General features: G+C 47.0%; 1 protein-coding gene across 1 annotated transcript, besides 2 other annotated features; it reads right to left on the reverse strand.

Annotated features, from left to right (window-relative positions):
* Positions 1–1,475: 1,475 nt before the first annotated feature.
* Positions 1,476–9,523, reverse strand: OR2V1 (olfactory receptor family 2 subfamily V member 1). Its single transcript, NM_001258283.2, has 4 exons — positions 9,404–9,523; positions 8,527–8,569; positions 7,874–7,929; positions 1,476–3,679 (listed from the first exon to the last, which is right to left on the reverse strand). The coding sequence occupies exon 4, from the start codon at positions 3,656–3,658 to the stop codon at positions 2,711–2,713; it is 948 nt and encodes a 315-aa protein (NP_001245212.1). The 5' UTR covers positions 3,659–3,679; positions 7,874–7,929; positions 8,527–8,569; positions 9,404–9,523; the 3' UTR covers positions 1,476–2,710.
* Positions 8,309–8,810: an enhancer, noted in NCBI's record as "H3K4me1 hESC enhancer chr5:180556955-180557456 (GRCh37/hg19 assembly coordinates)". NCBI's record gives its function as "activates a minimal SCP1, AML or CMV promoter by ChIP-STARR-seq in primed H9 embryonic stem cells {active_cell/tissue: H9 hESC(primed)}" and the evidence as "EXISTENCE:reporter gene assay evidence [ECO:0000049][PMID:30033119]".
* Positions 16,409–16,908: an enhancer, noted in NCBI's record as "H3K4me1 hESC enhancer chr5:180565055-180565554 (GRCh37/hg19 assembly coordinates)". NCBI's record gives its function as "activates a minimal SCP1, AML or CMV promoter by ChIP-STARR-seq in naive H9 embryonic stem cells {active_cell/tissue: H9 hESC(naive)}" and the evidence as "EXISTENCE:reporter gene assay evidence [ECO:0000049][PMID:30033119]".

The following is a 20,865-nucleotide window of genomic DNA, read 5'->3' on the forward strand; positions in this document are numbered from 1 at the left end:
CCAAAGTGAAGAAGAAGGTTCTAAATACCAATGATGTCTTCATGATCAATTGCCATGTTGGGGTGTGTGTGCGTGTGTCCCTGTGTGGAAGCTAATTTGTCCTCTCCCCCTCCTCTTATTGCTTTACATACCCCTGGTGGTGGAGGCTACCGTTCAGTCAAGATCGTGACTGTACATGAGGGATGACAGTGCCCACCGTTCAGTCAAGACCGTGACTGTACATGAGGGATGACAGTGCCCACAGGCGGTGCCACGGCTGCCAAAGGGCAGCGTGTGTGGACGCGGACACATTCTTAGGAAAAGCAAAATGTCCCTGCTGTTTAGTGGAAGTTCAGCTGTGAGTGAAATGCTGTGTGGACACTGAATGGCCACAGGAGGGACCTGCACCCGCTTTTAAGCAGTTGCCTCAGCCTGCAGCCCACACTCCTGTCATCTGAATTGTGTTGCTAGGGCTGATTTGCTGTCGGGGCCCATCAGTCTCCGCCAGGAGGACACTAGAAGGAGGCTGTCAGCCAGCAGGAGCGGAAAGAAACCAATCCTCATGACTTCCTGTTTTTTCCTGTCAAAATCGTCCCAGCAATGTTTCTTCATCCTGGAAGTTGGCTCCATGCTGCAGATTTTACTTTCACACTTCCGCACTCGTCTCATCCTGCCCTTAGAAAAACACGCAGCAGCCGACTGGCCCCCAAGCGTCAGCAGCCGGGACCTGAGGCCCTCTCTGAACACCTAGAGTGTCAGGAGCAACCACACAGCAGCTGCTCCTCGGAAGCCTGGGCCCAGCTTTGGAGGCCGCTTCTTCTCCCCCGCCGGCCCCCGTGCTCCGGGGGTACCACAAGGCAGGGCCAGGCAGCCCTCCAAGGTCAGGGAGATGCTTCTCCAGGGCCTCTGCTGAGCTCGGGATGCCATGGTCACTGCCTGCCCCCAGATGTTTGAGCTCCAAGGATCCCTAGTGTTCTTGTTTTGGCCATTCAGTTCTCCAACATCTGGTTAGCAATTTTGTTTAATTTTTGTGTTTTTTTAGACACGGGGTCTCGCTCTGTCACCCAGGCTAGAGTGCAGTCAGTGGTGCAGTTCTCTTACTGTAGCCTTGAACTCCTGGGCTCAAGCCGTCCTCCCTCCTTAGCCTCCCGAGTAGCTCGGACTGCAGTAGCTAGGACCAGGCTGGTCTTGTACTCCTGGCCTCAAGTGATCCCTCTGCCTCAGCCTCTCAAAGGGCTGGCATTACAGGTGTGAGCCACCGTGCCTGGCCAGCAATTCTTTATGTTAAACTTTCTCTTAAAATAACTGACGTGATTTTGTTCCTAAATGGACCCTGACTGATATATAAGTTTCAAAATAATGGCTCAGTTTATCTCCTTATTTCTTTTCCAGTCTTCATGCTCCAAGAGAGATACAGTTTTAAACCGTTAAAGAACTTGAAGTGCTAAAATGAATCACAGCTGCCACAGCAAACTTGACATGTGAACAGTGCTTTTAAAATGCTTCCATTTATATTACCTCACTTGATGCTCTCTTCTTGCATTCATTCAATAATGTTTTATTGAGCAACTGCTACTTATAAGGCACAGGGTCTGGTACTGGTAATACACTGTGAACCCCCAACCTTTGAGACAGATATCAGTTAATTTAGAAAGTTTATTTTGTCAAGGTTGAGGACGTGCACCCGTGACGCGGCCCTCCGGAGGTCCTGACGACACGTGCCCAAGGTGGTCAGGGCACGCTTGGTTTTATACATTTTAGGGAGACATGAGACATCAATCAATGTATGTAAGAAATACACTGGTTCCATCCAGAAAGGCGGGGACAGCTCGAAGCAGGGAGGGGGCTTCCAGGTCACAGGTAGGTGAGAGACAAATGGTTGCAGTCTTTTGAGTTTCCGATGAGACATTCCAAAGGAGTCAATCAGAAGCTGCATCGATCTCAGTGAGCAGAGGGCTGACTTTGAAAGAATGGGAGGCAGGTTTGCCCTGAGCAGTTCCCACCTTGACTTTTCCCTTTATCCTCGTGATTTTGGGGGCCCAAGATATCCTCCTTTCATAACACACACAAAAAAACAAGATATTCCCCCCACGAGGATAACTACTAAACTGCAGGGATTTATTTTTATTACTTAAAGGAGGTTTTATAAAGCCTCTAATTGAACATAGAAAAAGGCAAAGAACTGTCCAAAAAGAGTTATAGGGACTCAATTTCTGCCATTTAGAAAGTTTCCACTTAAGATATCCACATTTGTTAGTCTAAGTCATCAATTAAATAATTTAGAAAGAATAGAAAAGGAACAGGAACCTAGAACTTAGTAAGCATCCAATAAAAGACAGCTATTACCAAGAAGAATTAAGAAATATAGCACTAAAGGGCAGAAAAACACAAAAAATAAAATAAAGAAAATAAAAAATAGAGTAAATTTAGTCCAAGGATGTCATAAACAATCAACAATGACAATAATAGCAGCCGTTGCTTCTTCATGGAGCTTTAGATTGACACATTGTGATCTTTACAAAATCCCTCAGAGCACGAGTGTCCTGATTATCTTTTTTTCCTTTTTTTTTGGTACAGAAATGTTCATAATGGCTTTTCTCATGATGGCCAAAACCTATAAACCATCCAATGACCATCAACAGGTGAATGGAAACAGACACTCACAAAGGTTGAGTGACTTCCCAATGTGACACAGGCAAGAAGGGGCACAGCAGGCACCAGACTCTGGGGTTCAGTGCTGGCTGCCAATCCTGCAGCGGTCCAGCCCCTTCCTCAGTGCCCCCATCACCTCCCCATTCCTCAAGCTGTAAATGAGGGGGTTCAGCATGGGAGTAAGGACTGTGTAGAAGATAGAGGCCACCTTGTCATGGCTAGGGGCCCGGTAGCGCCTAGGCCTCAGGTACATGAACATGGCTGCCCCATAGAAGAGGGTGACAGCTGTTAGGTGGGAGGAGCAGGTGGCCAGGGCTTTTTTCCAGGCCTGAGCAGAGCGTATTCGGAGCACAGCCCCTAGGATGCAAGCATAGGAGGCCATGATGATGGAGAAGGGAAGGAGAAGCATGAAGACACAGCAAGCAAAGAGGAGGGTGTCAAAAAGGGAAGTGTCTGCACAGGCCAGCTTCAATAAAGCTTGTACCTCACAGAAAAAGTGATCCACGCTCCTTGAGCCACAGTAAGGTAAGCCCATGGCTGCCACCATCTGAATCACTCCATCTATTATCCCAAAGGCCCAGGAGCTCCCAGTAATCTGGAGACAGACCCTCTGATTCATGAGGATGGGATAGTGAAGTGGGTGGCTAACGGCCACGTAGCGGTCATAAGCCATGAGTCCCAGCAAGAGCCCCTCAGATCCCACAAGAGAGACAAAAAAGCCAATTTGTATGCCACAGCCCACAAAGGAGATGGACTTCCTGCCAGACAGGAAGTTGGCTGCCATCTTTGGCACAATGTTACAGACCAACATGAGGTCCATGAGGGAGAGCTGGCTGAGGAAGAAGTACATGGGGGTGTGAAGTCCAGCGTCCAGGTAGATGAGGAAGATGAGGAGGACATTCCCACAGAGGGCCACTGTGAAGACCACCATAACTGCAGAGAAGAGGACAAGGTCAGTCTGGCTGTGGGAAAAGATGCCCAAGAGGAAGAAGCCATCTGTGTAGGACTGGTTCACCCATCTTCCCATGGCTTAGTTGTTCACTGTCACCTGAGAACATAAGAGAAATTATAAGATTGAGTGACATGTCTCTATTGTGCTCCAAATTCTTCAGTTCAACAGCGTATGCTCTGAGAGATGCAGGAGGACACTCGTATTCCTGTGACACAGGTGACAGGACCTCTGCCAGCTCTGGAATTGGACTACACATCTGTATTTGTGCATATCCATACCCAGAGAGTGGACATAGGATCATTTCATGAGACCCAGGACTGTTGGACAATTCTCTTTTGGCCAGCAAAGCCCAGGCTTTCCACATGGCACTGCCTCTTAGCTGGGGTCACATGGATTTGGTCAACTGTCTCTAACATGCCTTGGTCTATTTCATGCCTGAGAGATCATTACATGTGTTACAAAAAGGAAAGATCAAGCTGGGCGCGGTGGCTCACGCCTGTAATCCCAGCACTCTGGGATGCTGAGGCGGGTGGATCACCTGAGGTTGGGAGTTCAAGACCAGCCTGACCAACATGGAGAAACCCTGTCTCTACTAAAAGTACAAAATTAGCCAGGCGTGGTGGCGCATGACTGTAATCCCAGCTACTCGGGAGGCTGAGGCAGGAGAATCGCTTGAACCCAGGAGGTGGAGGTTGCAGTGAGCCGAGATTGTGCCATTGCACTCCAGCCTGGGCAACAAGAGCGAAACTCCATTTCAATTAAAAAAAGAAAAAAAAGGAAAGATCATGGCAACGTGAGATGTTCTTTAGTCTTTACTTTGTTCAGGTCAAAAATCCTGGGACCATTTTCAACTTCTCTATTTCTTTAATTCCCTAGGTCCAAACCATCAGAAAAGCCCCTTGGCCCATACCCTCAGTGTTTCTCAGAATCTAATTCGCTTTTCCCACCTCCACCAAAACTACCCTGGTCCCAGCCACCCTCCTTTTTCTGATGGGTTATTGTAGCCTCTTCCCTGGTCTCCCAGCTTCTATCCTTGAACTCTTGAGTCTATTGTCACAGCATTTGCAGAGAGTCTGCTAAGATGTAAAGCATTTGTGTAACTTTCCTAGTGAAAGTAGGTCAATGACATCCCAAATTACTCCAAATAAAGCCCAGTTCTTACAGTGGCAAGCAAAGCCCTACATCACACACCACACACACACACACACACACACACACACACACACACAGAGACACACAGACAGACACTAATACACACATAGACACACACACAGACAGACATATAGACACACACACAGACACATGGAAATACACAGACACACACATATACACATGAAAATACACATGCAGAAACACATAGATACACGGAGTCACACACACAGCCATATAAACAAAGACACACACACAGATACACACCCAGAGACATACAGACATGGAAAGATATGCACAGACACGCACAGAAACACATAAGCACACATACATCCATATACAGAAACACAGAGACATACACACACACACACAGAGTCATACACAAATACAGACATATACACAGACACACATAGACACAGTTACACACCCAGACACATGGACACACGGAAATACACACACACCCCGCACGTCCCTCTGAGGTCCCCTCGGGCCCCTCCCTTGCTCGCAGAGCTTCCGGGGGTCTCCTGGGCCTGGTGCCCGCACCTCCATCCTTTGCTGGTTTTCCTCGGTGGAATGCTCTTCCCCAGGTCCCCCTCCCTCCCTGCTTCCTGTCTTTCCTCAAATGCCAGTCTTCACAGAGAGGTGTTCCGTGGAAGCCGGATGAAAACGCTGAATGTCTCGTTCTCCCAGGCCCCTTCCTGCTGCCGTTTCTCCACGGCACTGGTGCCATCTGACACCCACAGGCTCCCGTATTTGGACCGTCCCCGTCTGTGAGATCCACCAGAATGAAAGCATGTTTCTGTTCACCATGACGTTGGCAGCCCCCAGAATGGTGCCTGGCTCATAGCGGGACCTCAACCCAGACATGGTGACTGAACAAAATAATATGTGATGGAGTGACATGTGGCTGCAATTTCCATTTTCTGCAGAAAGGCTCCTGCTTCATTGGCCTTGGTCTGAGTGTCACAGGAGTTTGCTGTGTGATTCTTTTCTACCAGGGACAGTGAGTGAAAATGGAAGAAACATCTTCAGATGCTTACAAAGACGAGGACCTGCTCCACACATGGGCGGCTGTTTATCTGTAAGGCCTCTGCGTGCAGGTGCATTCACGTCCACCTTACCTCACTGCAGCGTTAAATGAGGCTGCTCCACGGGACACCACGCTCTCTGTGCCAGGACCCCGGGGAATTTCCTAAACTGGGATGGGCCTGCCCAGGCCCAGGACCCTGGAGATGGCTGCTTGATCTGTGGCCCTAGGTCAGGGAGCTTGTCCTGGTTCATGCCCAGGAGGGAGTTCCCGGGGTCCTTGCCACTGATGACCCCTGGAGTGATGTGGAGGGGATTTCTACAGGAGAGATCTATTCCCACAGCGACCAAGCACCATCTCAGCCACACCAGCCGCAGGTTCCACCCAGCAGCGAAACAAACCAGGTTCCCCCAGATCCCCCAGCAGAAGAAGGGATGCCCAGCCCTACCACCGTGTCCAGAGGCACCAGCCACAGGCACCTCCCAGGACATGCACGTCCCACTCCCCCCTCCCCCAGTCTCTTAAACTACAATACTGCATGGTTGACTGATGCCACTTCTCCCTCCATCCTGCATGGTTCCTTTGCACTCAGACTCTTACACCCACTGTGCACTCAACCTCTCCCCTCAGCTGTGTCACGGGCTTGTTCCACCCGAAGTGGCCAAACAGACCACCTGCTCTCCCCTGGAGAAACGCCTGTTCTCCCGCTCTCAGCTCAGTGAGTGGCAGATCTGTCCAGATTGACAGGTCACAACACTCGCATCATCCTGGACTCCTGTCCTCTCCTCACACACACACACACACACACACACACACGCCCCAAACATCAGAAACCCCTGCTGGCTCCCCTTGCAAAACATACCCCCCAGCCAGCACGCATCCCTGCCAGCTCCCACCTGGCCACACCACCTCTAGAGTGTCCCTGGAGGATGGCAACGGCCCCAACTGCATTTGCCTCCCAGTCTACGCTGGCACACCCCAGCCCAACCTGGTCTATTTGTCACGTAGTCCTGGGGTGGACCCATCTCTGCAGGAATAAAGCCAAAGTACTTCCAGAGGAAATGCAAGACTCATCAGCAGCCCTCCACCACCACCCACGCCTTTCCTTCCACTCTCCCGGGATTCCCTCCATGCCGGTCTCCCTGCCTCCTGGAGCTGCTCCCACACGGCAGGACAAGGCCAGCTCCAGGGGGCCTGGACACTTTCTCTCACCTCCGTGCAGAAGGCTCTTCCCAGACTGGCCCTGCCTTGCTCCCTCACCTCCTCCTCGCCTTCTCAGCAAAGCCTTCCCTCAGCACCCATTTAGAGCTGAAATCCTTCTTCTTCTGCCTCCCTTCCCTGCCTTGGTTCCCACAGCAGGCATATATGCAAGGCAGGCCCCAGGCTGCTCATGTGGGTGTCTGTTCTCTGCTTTCCCAACTAGAACCCGTGTTCCCCGGTGCCACGGGTGCTCGTGGTGGGATCCCTGGCTCCCGGAACAGGGTCTGGCACATCTGTTATGAGCTCAGTCAATATTTGTTGAATGCATAAAAATTTTGTTGGCCAAGTACCCTGGCTCACACCTGTAATTCCAAAACTTTGAAAGGCTGAGGCAGAAGGATAGCTCGAGGTAGGAGTTTGAGACCAGCCTGGGCAACATAAACGAGACCTCATCTCTATTCAAAAAACAGAGAAAATTAGCCAGGCTATTGTGGCACACATCTGTAGTCCCAGCTACTCAGGTGGCTGAGGTGGAAGGATCGTTTGAGCCTGAAAGTTCAAGCTGGCAGTGATCTATGTTCACGCCACTGCACTCCAGCCTGGGTGACAGAGCGAGCTTTGTCTCCAAAATAAAAATAAAATAAAACATTACCTGGGCGTGGTGGTGTGCACCTGTAGTTCCAGTTACTTGGAAGACTGAGGCAGATCACTTGAGCCTAGGAATTTGAGGCTGCAGTGAGCTACGATCACACCACTGCACTCCAGCCTGAATGATAGAGCTATGACATTGTGTGATTTGGAGGGGGTTTCTACAGGAGCAAATCTGTTCCCACAGCGACCAAGCACCCTCTCAGCCATATCAACCAGCAAAATACACCAGATGCCCCAGCAGAAGAACGGTCTCCCAGCCTTACCACCATGTTCAGAGGCACCAGCCACTTGTGCCTCTCAGGACACAGACGGCAAGATCCTGTCTCAGAAAAAAAAAATTGTATTATGAAACACAACAGAATTTATTCTTGCCTCTCACTGGCTTATCTTCCTGCTCTCTAATTTCAGACCTTTCCGTTGGGTGTTTAGTTAATGGCTTCACTTTTCTTCCTAGAAACCACAACATAGAAGAAGCCACTGCATCTCTGCAATATTCTCCCCGGCACGGGAGGACCCCGTCCCACATCAGCCCCCTCCTTCCTGCTCCTTCACCTTCGCACTCCCCACACATCTGTCCTTGTCTTCCTGCTGTGGACCATCCTCCACCCCAGGGACCTAGAGCCCAGTCTCCAACCCAGACAGAGGGAGGGGGACGGGAAAAGGGGAGTAGGACACCAAGGAAAGAGAGAGAGGTGGGTCAAAGGAAGAGAACGAGAAGAAAGAGTGAGGAGAAACATCACACCAGAAGACGGATGCCCCTCCAAACACCCACACGAAACAGTTACACCCTGATGGAGGCAGACAGCAGGAGGAAGAGCAAGTGCTGATGAACAAGATAAATGGGGACGTGAACCAGCAATGGGAGCAGGAGCTGCAGGGAAGAGAGAGGGGACGACAGGACAAGACCCTCACTCACCTGTGGGTGGGTCCCTGCAGGGGAACAAACTCAGCAGAGTCACCTGTGGAGGAGTTCCTAGCGTCAGAGCCATGCACTCATCCTCCTGTGTTTGCTCCCACTGGGTCGGGGGACAGGAGGAGCCGCAGCCCCAACCTCCTTCCTCAGCCCGCACCGACTACTCATCGGGTTGTGGAGCCCACGGCACCCTCAGCCTCCAGTGGCCCCTCAGGCTCAGAGAGCAAGGCTCACACAGACCACAGCCTCCTCTCAGAGGGAGAAACAGGCTCAGGGAAGGAGCTGGTGCTGGCAGGAGAGGTGGAGCCAGGAGCAGTGCCCTGAGCCCACCCAGGATTCCCACCTGCCTCCAGGACACCCTGGCTCTGGCCAGGTGGCAGAACCGCCTCCCACTGCCCACACAGGTACTGAACCCAGACACGGGGTGAAGAGGGGAAGCTGACTTCAGACCTCAGCTCCCAGGGGACCCCACAGACTCCAGCCCTGGAAGAGGTGCTCCCAAGATTACAATTAAAAAGACCCACAGAGGGACCTGGGGACAGGAACAGGAGCAGGGCCAGTGGGGACAGCGTGAGGAAACCCAGCTGGGGGAGGAGGAACGCAGGGCAGAGGAATACAGGAATGCGGAGGACATTCTTGGTGCCCTACATTGCCCCCCCACACACACATCAGCACTTCCCAGCGACCTCCAGGGCCCTCATGGGGTCTCCATGTCACAGCTGTCCCTTGGGCCCTCGCTGCACCCCACACCTGTCCTTCACCTGCCCCCATTAAGTCAGCCTACATCACCCGTGACATGCAAAGCACTGGGTGGGGGGCTCTGGACACAGTCCTTGCTCAAGGGGTCTACAGCCTCGTGGGAGGGAAAGAACAGCCCCACCTTCACGAGAGTCGGGTGGAGCCTGGGGGCCTGGTTGGGATCCTCATAAACCTGACAGGCGTTTCTGCAGGGTCAGTGTCTTCGTGGGCTGCTGGGGATGGGGCTGAAGTCCACGGTTCTGATGCTGCCACTGCCTTTTACTCTCAAGAGCATTTCACATCGGAGGATGCATTTTATGGTCACTCTGTGGCTATTTATGTCCCATGGAAGCAGGCCATTTTCTCAGGGGCCAATGTGCTTGAAATCCCCTTGCCACATGGCTCAGACACCAGAGGCGTTTGTTCCTTCTGAATCTCGACTTCCTTGTGTGTCTTTGCTACCACACTTTTGGTGTGTGCCCTCTTCCTGATCCAGCTTCCAGCTATGGCAGGAGTCTGAGGAACATGCAGGCGAGGAGGCCATGAGGGAGACACAGGAAGACCGGGGCAGAGAGAGGTAGACTAGGGAGGAAGGGAATGGCCACCTCGCAGCTGGAGTGGGGCAGGCTGGCTTTTGAGGACTGGACCTGCAGCGTCTCCCACTCCTCTCCCACACCGGCCTTCTCCTCTATCCTCCTATGCACCCAACGCTTTCCACACTCACACTTTTTCTCCAGCCACTTCTCCCCACCGGCACTTCCTCTGTCTTCTTCCTCTGTTACTCTTCAGCCTTATCTAATTCCCCAAGACCGAGCTCAAGCCCACCTCCATTCAGATTCCTCCGGAACTCAATCCACCATGACCTCCGCCGGCCATGGCTTCCTGTCTACACTCTGGCAGCGTATGTCCATGGCCTGCTGACAGCTCTTGTATTGCCTTTTATCGTATTATTCAGGGGGAACTTTTGATCATGTGCAAACAAGGAAACACTTTTATTTTTGTACAGCCACTGCTTTTAAATAAGACATCACAATTCATTCTCCACATCTTCATGACATCTCATGCAGATCAAGAGTTTTCTGGTGACTTTGGGTGGTAAGACGAAGGCTCATTTATATATTCTAAAATCCAGTCCATTGAAAATCAAAATTTGAATCTCACATTCAATTCAGTGTTGGTCCCCTTGACACAGCCTAAATCAAGACTAACTTGGGGCTTGGAGTCCCACAGTAGAGAAGGGAGAAGAGTCTGCTAACAGCAATCATATTATGTGTCCTTTCAGATTTTAAGGGAGGTGGGGATACTCTTTGAAATGTCCGTTTTTCTCAAATAAGTTACTAGGATGTCTGAACTGATTTATTTGGAGAACTGCCCTGCATAAATAGAAGCACTGTCTTTTACATGAGTATCTTAATTTAAAAATGTTTAATCTGGCACGGTGGTGCGTGTCTGTGGTCCCAGCTACTCTGGAGGCTGAGGTGGGAGGATCATTTAAGCCCATGAGGTCAGGGCTGCAGTGAGCTGAGATCACACCCCTGCACTTCAGCCTGGGCAACAGAGCCAGACCCTGTCTCAAAAAAAAAAATTATTGTCTAGGACATTCAAATTTTCAACCTCCCCTAATTTTTGTACTAAAATGAAAGCAGCAGCTGTCACATAAATGTCCAGGAAATGTCATTATTGATGTTTCTCTGTTAAGAATTCTTCTTAAATGCTCATCCTATTATTATGTTTTATTCTTGATATTTTAGAGAAACTTACTGATGTATTTACTGAGGAAACTATGTGATTTCTGAAACTTATTTGTAGATAATCCAGTTGTGAAGGGGAGAGGGAGAGGTGGGTGGGGAGTAGACGGAACGGTGTTGACCCTGAGCTGCCAATTGCCAGCACCGGGTGGTGAGTGCAGAGAAGTTCATTATACGATGCTTCCAGGTTTTAGGTGTGTCTAAAATGCTCTATAACAAGAACCTGGAAGGTCACTCCACACTGGTTGAGTAAACTGTAATGTATCCACATAACAGAGTGCCGTACGACTGTAAAAAGAACATCAAGTGTTTCTTCTTCTACACTGGAGGGATCTTCAGGAGGTAAGGAGGGAAAAAGCATGGTGCAGAACAGAACACAGCCTGCTGCTTCTGCCGTGAGAAAGGAGGAAATCTATGGACAAGGTTGTTTTTTACATTTTCAAAATCAACTATAAAAGGATAATTGCAAACTAATAAATACGGTTCCACATAGCAGGAGGGAAGAAATGTGTGTACGAGACAGAGACAGAAACTAGGTTTTTTTTTTCTTTTAAGAGACAGGGTCTTGCTCTGTGGCCCAGGCTGGAGTGCAGCAGTGCCAACATGGCTCACTGCAGCCTCCAACTCCTGAGGCAAGGGCACTCTCCTGAGCTCCAGAGATCCTCCTGCCTCAGCCCCTGAGCAGCTAGGACCCCAGGAGCATGCCACCACACCCGGGTGATTCTTTAATTTTTTGTAGAGATGAGTCTTGCTATGTTGCCCAGGCTGGTCTCAAACTTCTGGCTTCAAGCAGTCACCCTCCTCAGCCTCCCAAAGTGCTGGGATTACAGGCAAGAGCCGCCACTCCTCGCTAAAACTACACATCTGTAAGTGTGCTTTATTTTATAATTGGACTTCAGTACATGTTTCATACAATTAAAAATCAAAATTATATCAAAAAGTAAAAAAATTTCAGCCACTGTGGACTAGTTTGTATAAGAACAACTTTCATGATAAGAACAATTGGAGAAATTGGATAAAATCTAAAAATGAAATATTTTATAAGTGATTATAAAGATGCGGAAACAGCCACGACTCAAGGGTCTGAGACCCGGGGATGTGTTCTCGGCTGAGCTGGACATTGGGTGGTGCTTTTCCTCTCCAGGCATTTGCTGACTCATCCCTGGCACAGGGCCCAGAGGCTGGGAAGCTGAGCGAAGCCTCTTGTCATCTCACAGATCTGGGAGGGAAGAAATTGGGTTTAGAGACCTCAAAAACACCCTGACCTCCAGCTAGGACCCCAGGAACACTACACACTAAGAGTAATTATTAATCAGAAATAGAGAATTCTCACAAAGACTGAACCCAGCTTCACGCGGATCAGCCACAGGTTCACACGCATCAGCCACAGACTGGCTTAAGGAAACCAGCTGCTCATCTAGCTGCCCCACATAAGGAACGGTAAATCTTCTCTAGAAGAAAAGGATATTACCCACAGCTTCAGATTATTCGCATCATTTGTCTGCCATTCAAGAAAAAATTACCAGGCATTCTAGGGACAGGATAAAATGACCAAATTCAAAAAGACAAAAAAGAAACAAACTTAAAGGAGATCCAGACTGGCGTTGCCATTCATGAGCTTTAAATTAACTGTTATCACGATGCTCGAGAGAAAAAAACCAAGACGGATAATTTCACCAGACACCTGTAACCTTTGAAAAGAATAAAACGAAACTCTAGAACTGAAAGTATCAAAAACTAAATAAACAACTCAATAGATAGATTTGGCAATAGTTTAGACACAGATAGTTAGTGAACTGAGTAAGAGGTCAACAGACAAAACCAAGGCTGAAACACAGAGAGAAGAGAATACAAACCATGGAAGGGAGGGTGAGAAACACACGGGCATAGCAAGGTCTCACTTCAGTGCTGCTGGAGTCCCAAAAGTAGAGGGGCAGGAAAGAACAGGATGGAAACAATATTTTTAAAAGATATAGATGGAAGCCGAGGGGTGGTAAAAGCCAGGTCTCATGGCTGATGCCTGTAATCTCAGCACTTTGGGAGGCCAAGGCATGAGGATCACTTGAGGCCAGGAGTTGGAGACCAGCCTGGGCAAAATAGAGAGACCCCATCTCTACAAAAAATTTAAAAATTAGCCAGGTGCAGTGGTGGGCACCTGTGGACCCAGCTGCTTGGGAGACTGAGGCAGGAGGATCACTTAAGCACAGGAGGCTGAGGCTGCAGTGAGCCAAGATTGTGTCACTGCACTCCAGCCTGGGCAAAAGAGTGAGACCCTGTCTCAATTAAAAAAAAAAAGAAAGAAAAGAAAGAAAAAAATATGGGTGGAGCAATTTTTTAAAGTGATGAAAGAGATCAAGTCACAGATTAAGAAACTCTGTTAACTAATAGCAAGAAGAATACAAAGAAGTCCAAGCTAGGCTCACCACAGCATTACAGCTGAGAAGCAAAACAAACAGAAAAGTGTTAGCAGTATCCAGAAGAAAAAACAAAGTACATTAAAAAGTGCAACAAGAAGACTAACAGCAGGCTTTTCAACACACACACACACACACACACACTGCAACAAGAAGACTAACAGCAGGCTTTTCAACACACACACACACACACACACACACACAACAGTGATGAAAGCTAACATGGCACCCTTAACGTCTTGGAATAAAATTACTGCCCACATAGAATTATAGTTCCAACAGAAATATTATTTTAAGATGAAGGCAAATAAAGATGAATTCATGCAAACAAAAACTTTTAGAGTATTTTCTGTCAGAAGATTTGCACCAAAACAAAACAAAACCACAAAAATGAAAAAAGGAACCAAAACAAAGAGCAAAATACAAAACCCTAAAAGGAATTCTACAAGCAGAAGCAGAAGGAAAATGATCCCAGAGGATGGACATGCAAAGAGGGGTCTGGAGAACAACAGAAAGGGTAAATGTGTGAGTGAATCCATCTGCATATTGACAATATCAAATCAGGTTAGTGAGGCTGCGTGGGGTTTGAGATATGTGTAGAATCTAACTGCATAAAAACAACGACAAAGAAGGCGGAGTGGTGGGGAACTAACGCGTTCTAAGGTCCTCGTGAAAGCCAGGAAGTAGCAAAAATACATCTTTATATGAGGCACCAGTAAGTGAGGTATGTGGCTTGTAATTTCCAGGTCGCCACTTAAAGAATAAAGAAAATAACTAAGTTATTAGAGAAAGAAGAAATAAATGGCAAATACCACTTTTTTTCTTTGAGACAGAGTCTCGCTCTGTCACCCAGGCTGGAGTGAGTGCAGTGGTACAATCTCAGCTCACTGCAACCTCCGCCTCCTGGACTCAAGTGATTCTCCTGCCTCAGCTTCCTGAGTAGCTGGGATTATAGGCCTGCATCACCGCCCAGCTAATTTTTGTATTTTAAGTAGAGAGGGGGTTTCACCATGTTAGCCAAGCTGGTCTCAAACTCCTAGAGTCAAGTCATCCTCCTGCTTCGACCTTCCAAAGTGCTGAGATGACAGGCATGAGCCACCGCACCTGACCAAATATCACTTTCTTAGTTCCTCTCCTAAGTGCCCCCAAAAAAGGCAGGGAGAGAAAGATAAGCAAAGTAGGACAAGTAAAAATCAAATAGTAAGATTATGGATTTAAACCTAAATATATCAGATATTGGTATGAGCTTAATTATATCCCTCAAAATTTATATATTGAAGCCCTAATCCTCAGTACCTCCAAATGTGACTATATTTGGTGATGGGTGTAATGGAGGTGATTAAATTAAAATGAGGCTCTTAGGGTGGGCCCTAATCCAAATTGACTTGTTTCCTTCTGAGAAAATAAATTTCTATTGTTTAAGCCACTTCGTCTGTGGTACTATGATAAGTTAGCCCTGGCAAACTGATCCAGACATTACATGTACATTAAATGTAAATGGACTAAATACATCAAATAAGAGATGGGCCAGGCACAGTGGCTCATGCCTGTAATCAGGCGTGACTCCATCTCAAAAAAAAAAAGAGATGAAGATATCAGGCTCAATTTTTTAAAAAATATTAATATTTGCTCTTAAAATTTAGGATATTAACAGGTATAAAACAAAAGGAGGGACAAATACATACCCAGCCAACAATAACAACAAATGTGATGAAGTCAATGCTAAATTCAGGCAAAGCAGACGTAAAAGCATTAAGCTAAACTGGAAGAAAAGGTATTTCACAAAAGGATCAACCCTCCAAGAAGATACAGCAACAATATGTATATACACATGTACATATATAACCTCAAATATACAAAGGGAAATTTGACGGAACTAAAAGTGGAAATAGGCCAGACACGGGGGCTCACGCCTATAATCCCAGCACTTTGGAAGGTTGAGGTGTGCAGATCACAAGGTCAGGAGATCGAGACCATCCTGGCTAACACAGTGAAACCCTGTCTGTACTAAAAATACAAAAAATTAGCCGGTGTGGTGGGGGGCGCCTGTAGTCCCAGCTACTCGGGAGGCTGAGGCAAGAGAATGGCGTGAACCCGGGAGACGGAGCTTGCAGTGAGCTGAGATCGCGCCACTGCACTCCAGCCTGGGCGACACAGCGAGACTCCGTCTCAAAAAAAAAAAAAAAAGTGGAAATAGACAAGTTCACAAAAATAATGTGAGATTTTAGCACAATTGTCTTAGTTATTTTAGAACAAGGTAACTAAAATATCAGTAAGGATATAGAAAATTTGAAGAATTTGAGTAGCAAATTGATCTGTGGACATCTATAGAAAATTGCACCCAACTACTACAAAACACACATTTTCTCCGAGTGCACACAGAACAGGTGCCAAAACTGATCACACACTGGGCCATAAATCAAGTCCCAAATTATTTTAGAGCACTTAAATCTGATCAGGTTCTGATTAAGCTAGGAGTTAATTAATGAAGAGAATAATTAGAAAACACATACACCCAGAAATGAGGTAATAATCTTCTAGATAACCCAGGAGTTAAATAAGAAACCACAATGAAAATTTTAACATATTTTGAAAAAGAGAGAAAACAAAGATGCGACAGGTCAGAAGGAGTGCCATACAGCTGAGACTTGTAGAACCTGGACTTCCTGAGGGAGGTGTCAGGCGGTGTGCATCCCACACACTCTCAGGCCTGTGGAGGGGCCTGGGAATTACGAGGGGTCACAGGAACCGCTCCTCGACGCTTGCTTAGGGAGACCTGAGTGTGAGAGGGTGGCTGGAGCTGTCTGGATGGTGGAGTGAAAGGGGAGCCCACGGAGGGACGTGGGCGGTGCTTCCTGAGAGCTAAGTGGCTACCCCAGATGCTGGCTGGGCTTAAGCCATCTTGAAAGAGAGCTTGAACCTACCGTGTACTCCAGCCACAGAAATAAGAGTCCAGAAAAAAAAATAGCACATAATGAAGCTGGCTTTTAAATATGATACATAGCGGGGTAGAGTTTCTTGGTAAATGATACAGGCATATTTGATCAAATCTTTCGGGCTGGTGGTCTGAGAGTCCAGGCTGGCCAGCCCAGCAGGGCCATTGAAAAGCTGAGGGCCGTCCACCTTGTGGGGATGGTGCGTGGCAGATGGGGGCCCGGGAGAGCTCACACACAGAGTCTTTGGAAGGAAGACCAACATTTGGCTGGGCAACTCCAAAGACCCAAGGGGGTCAGCCCCATGAGACTCTTCATTTCCCTCTGCTCACTCTCCTCCCTGCTGTGCCCAGCCCTGAGGTAGCAAATCCTGAAGTAGCAGCTGGGAACCAGCAGAGGGTGAGACTCAGGGCTGGCCCGTCTCCTTCCCCTAGGCCGGTCTGTGACCTGTGCACATCTCCTGTCTTGCTGTGGGTCTGTCTCTGAGATAACACTCGCTGCTGCTGCTCTCAGCCCCACTGGATGTTGATCCTAATGAGTCACCCTTGGGGATGCTCTTGATGTACAGTTCTCCCGAGGCTCCCTCACCAGCCTCTTCCTGGCACATGAATGACCCCATTTTATTTTATTTTGTTTTTTTTTTTAAGTAAACGCTCCTCAAGTAGAATGTTTTGTTTTCTTCATAGCACTTGTCAGTATCTGAAATTGTTAACAATTAGCTCTCCAGTCAGACTACCTGGATGTGGACTGCAGCTCCACCACTGGCAGCTGTGTGGCCGAGCAAACTGCTTTATCTCACCTGCCTTTCTGTGCCTCTGGCCCAGAAAGTGGGGTCTGTTGAGTGGGGATAGTAGCATATAGATAGTAGTCTGTTAATAGTAGCATATAGTTACTATACAGATAGTAGTCTGTTAAGTGGGGATAGTAGCATATAGATAGTAGTCTGTTCATAGCAGTATATAGTCACTACATAGACAGTAGTCTGTTAAGTGGGGATAGTAGTATATAGATAGTAGTCTGTTAATAGTAGCATATAGTCACTATATAGATAGTAGTCTGTTAATAGTAGCATATAGTTACTATATAGATAGTAGTCTGTTAAGTGGGGATAGTAGTATATAGATAGTAGTCTGTTAAGTGGGGATAGTAGTATATAGATAGTAGTCTGTTCATAGCAGTAGATAGTTACTATATAGATAGTAGCCTGTTAATAGCAGTATATAGTTACTCTATAGATAGTAGTCTGTTAAGTGGGGATAGTAGTATATAGATAGTAGTCTGTTCATAGCAGTATATAGTTACTCTATAGATAGTAGTCTGTTCATAGTAGTATATAGTTACTCTATAGATAGTAGTCTGTTCATAGTAGTATATAGTTACTCTATAGATAGCAGTCTGTTAAGTGGGGATAGTAGTATATAGATAGTAGTCTGTTCATAGTAGCATATAGTCACTATATAGATAGTAGTCTGTTAAGTGGGGATAGTAGCATATAGATAGTAGTCTGTTCATAGTAGTATATAGTTACTCTATAGATAGTAGTCTGTTAAGTGGGGATAGTAGTATATAGATAGTAGTCTGTTCATAGTAGCATATAGTCACTATATAGATAGTAGTCTGTTCATAGTAGTATATAGTTACTATATAGATAGTAGTCTGTTAAGTGGGGATAGTAGTATATACACAGTAGTCTGTTAATAGTAGCATATAGTCACTATATAGATAGTAGTCTGTTAAGTGGGGATAGTAGTATATAGATAGTAGTCTGTTCATAGCAGTATATAGTTACTCTATAGATAGTAGTCTGTTCATAGCAGTATATAGTTACTATATAGATAGTAGTCTGTTCATAGTAGCATATAGTTACTCTATAGATAGTAGTCTGTTAAGTGGGGATAGTAGTATATAGATAGTAGTCTGTTCATAGTAGCATATAGTCACTATATAGATAGTAGTCTGTTAAGTGGGGTAGTCTGTTAAGTGGTCTGTTAAGTGGGGATTGTAATGGCCCTGTCATGGCTGGGGGAGTGAGTGAGAAGACCACGCAGCTCTCTTATCACGGTGTCTGGCATGGTGCCGAAAGAGTCCTTGGCGATGGTCACTATTATTTCTAACTAGTTTGGCTTCAAGCTGGTTGCTTTTTGACTCTCTTTTCTTTCTTTTTTTCTTTTATTTTGTTTAATCAGGCAATACTTTGTTCTATAAAATAGAATATGTGTTCCTAGATTCTTTTTTCTATTTTGTCTACTGCCTATCTTTGTGGCAATACCAACTCTCTTAAATGCTGTGTTTTAAAAATAAATCTTACTATCTGGTAACTTCTATTTTCTTTAAGATCATCTTGACTCTACCTGGCTATTTACATGTTTATACAGTTTTCAGAATAAGCAATTTCTACAAAAGTTCTGCAGGGATTTTGATTGCAGCTGCGTTGGACCTACAGACCGTTTTGGTGAGAACGGACATTCTTACAACGTGGAGTGTCGAAACCCATGAATATGATCTATCCCTCCATTGAGCTTCTGTGATTTCCCTCAGCAATGTTTTGTGGCATGGGCTCTTTGCACATCTTTATTAGTCTTATTCTAGATGCATAAGCAACTTTAAACATTTATTAAGGAAAATCTCAAGTGTACACAAAAGTATAGGCAGTGGAAAATAGAAGTTGTTTTCCATCCCTAGCTTACTATAAGCTTGATTGTGAATGGGTGTTGAATGTCACTAAATGGCAGTTCTGCATCCTTTGAGAAGATCATGTTTTCCCCTTTTCTACTGCTCATATTTTGATTTACTGTGTTAATCATGCTTTTTTGTTTTCTGCATTTGGTGCCTGGACACACTGGGGCCTTACTGATCCTGGAAGGACCGCCCCTCCCAGGCTGGCTCATTCTCAGACACAGTCACAGATGCTCTCGAGCTCACCTTTCCTCTGCAGACCAACCAACCCAGAGCCCAGGCCCCAGCTGCCTCCTTACTGGGCTCTCATATTCTGGACCCTGTGCACCTGCCCTACTCACCCCAGGGCAGGTACCAACAGCGAGGAACTGCCCCTATGTCCCAGAGCCCACAGAAATTACTCAGACTGGCAGGTCCTAACCCTTCTTGCCCTGCCTTGCCCATTCCTCCCCACAGAAACCACAACACAGGCTCAGCCCATGTTTCCCAGCTCCCTCTGCCTCCTAAAGGACCCTGCTACATCCCCATGTGGCCATGCCTGGGGTGCCTTACTCCTGTTTCTGGGGAATCTGTGAGTGTGCAAACGTCTTCCCCCACGACAGGCACTTATGTGTCTGTGCGTCTAACCACACCTGATTCACACAAATCCTGGCTGTGCTTACAACATTTACACGGATTGGTTTTTTCATGTTAAACCACCATAACATTCATGGAATTAATACAACTTTTGTTGTGTAATATTCTTTTTATATATCACTGTCGTCGATTAGCTAATATTTTGCTGCTTAAGATTTTTGTATCTATATTCATGAGAGAAAATGGCCTGTAACTTTCCCTTCTTGTAACATCCTTGCCATGTGTTGGCTAGAAAGTTATGCTGTCCTCACAGAATGAGCGGGAAGAGTCGTGGGAAGAGTCTCCACTCCCTTTTTAAAACATCCCTGGAAGACTGTTATTGTTTCCTCCCTAAATTTATGGTAGAATGTATCACTGAAGCCATTTGGTCTTGGACTTTCTTTTGGGAGGATATTTTAAAATTATTCGTACCAAACTGAACTGGGGTCTGTGTACACTAAGGTCAACATCCACATCTAATGATGAGAACATCAGGAATCTACTTTCTTAGCAATTTCAAAGCATACAATACATATTATTAACTATAGTCACCGTGCTGTGAGATAGATCTCAAAAATGTATCCCTCCTAACTGAAACTGTGTATACTCTTTCACCAAAATCTCCCCAGGCCCCCGAGCCCCAGCCTGTGATCCGCCTTTGTATGCTCTGCCTTCATGAGTGTGTTTTAGATTCTAGATACGAGTGAGATGTGCGGAATTTATCCTTCTGGGCCTGGCTTATTTCACTGAGTGTAGAGTCCTCCAGGCTCATCTGTGTTGTCATGGAGGAGCTCACAGCAGAGGAGGGGCTGTGGATGGAGTCTTTGGAAGGTCGGAAGAGTAAAGGGGAGCTTTAGATGTTTCTCTGTAGATTGGTTAAGTTTCAGTAGGAGGAGACAGAGAGGCAAAGTAAGTTCCCGGGGGAGAACAGCTTGATCGAAAGTGTGGAGGGGAAACACCAGGCCCCTGCACAGACCAAGGGCAGAGCAGCTGGCTGTGGAGGGATGGCCCAGAGGGAGGCTCGGACAGAGGGAGGCTGGCATTGTAGGGAGATTCTGTAAAGCCCGCTTTGCTGTCCCTGGAACCAGCATGACCAAGGCCTGTTTTCCTAGGTCCTCAGCGTCCACTCCCTACACTGGCCCCTCTCCCCACAATCCGTCTCCCCTCAGCCCTCTGATCTGACTGAGGTTCTCTGTGGTTTTGTCTCCAGCTGAAGCC

Source organism: Homo sapiens, chromosome 5, assembly GCF_000001405.40.
Source record: "Homo sapiens chromosome 5, GRCh38.p14 Primary Assembly".
NCBI lineage: Eukaryota > Metazoa > Chordata > Mammalia > Primates > Hominidae > Homo > Homo sapiens.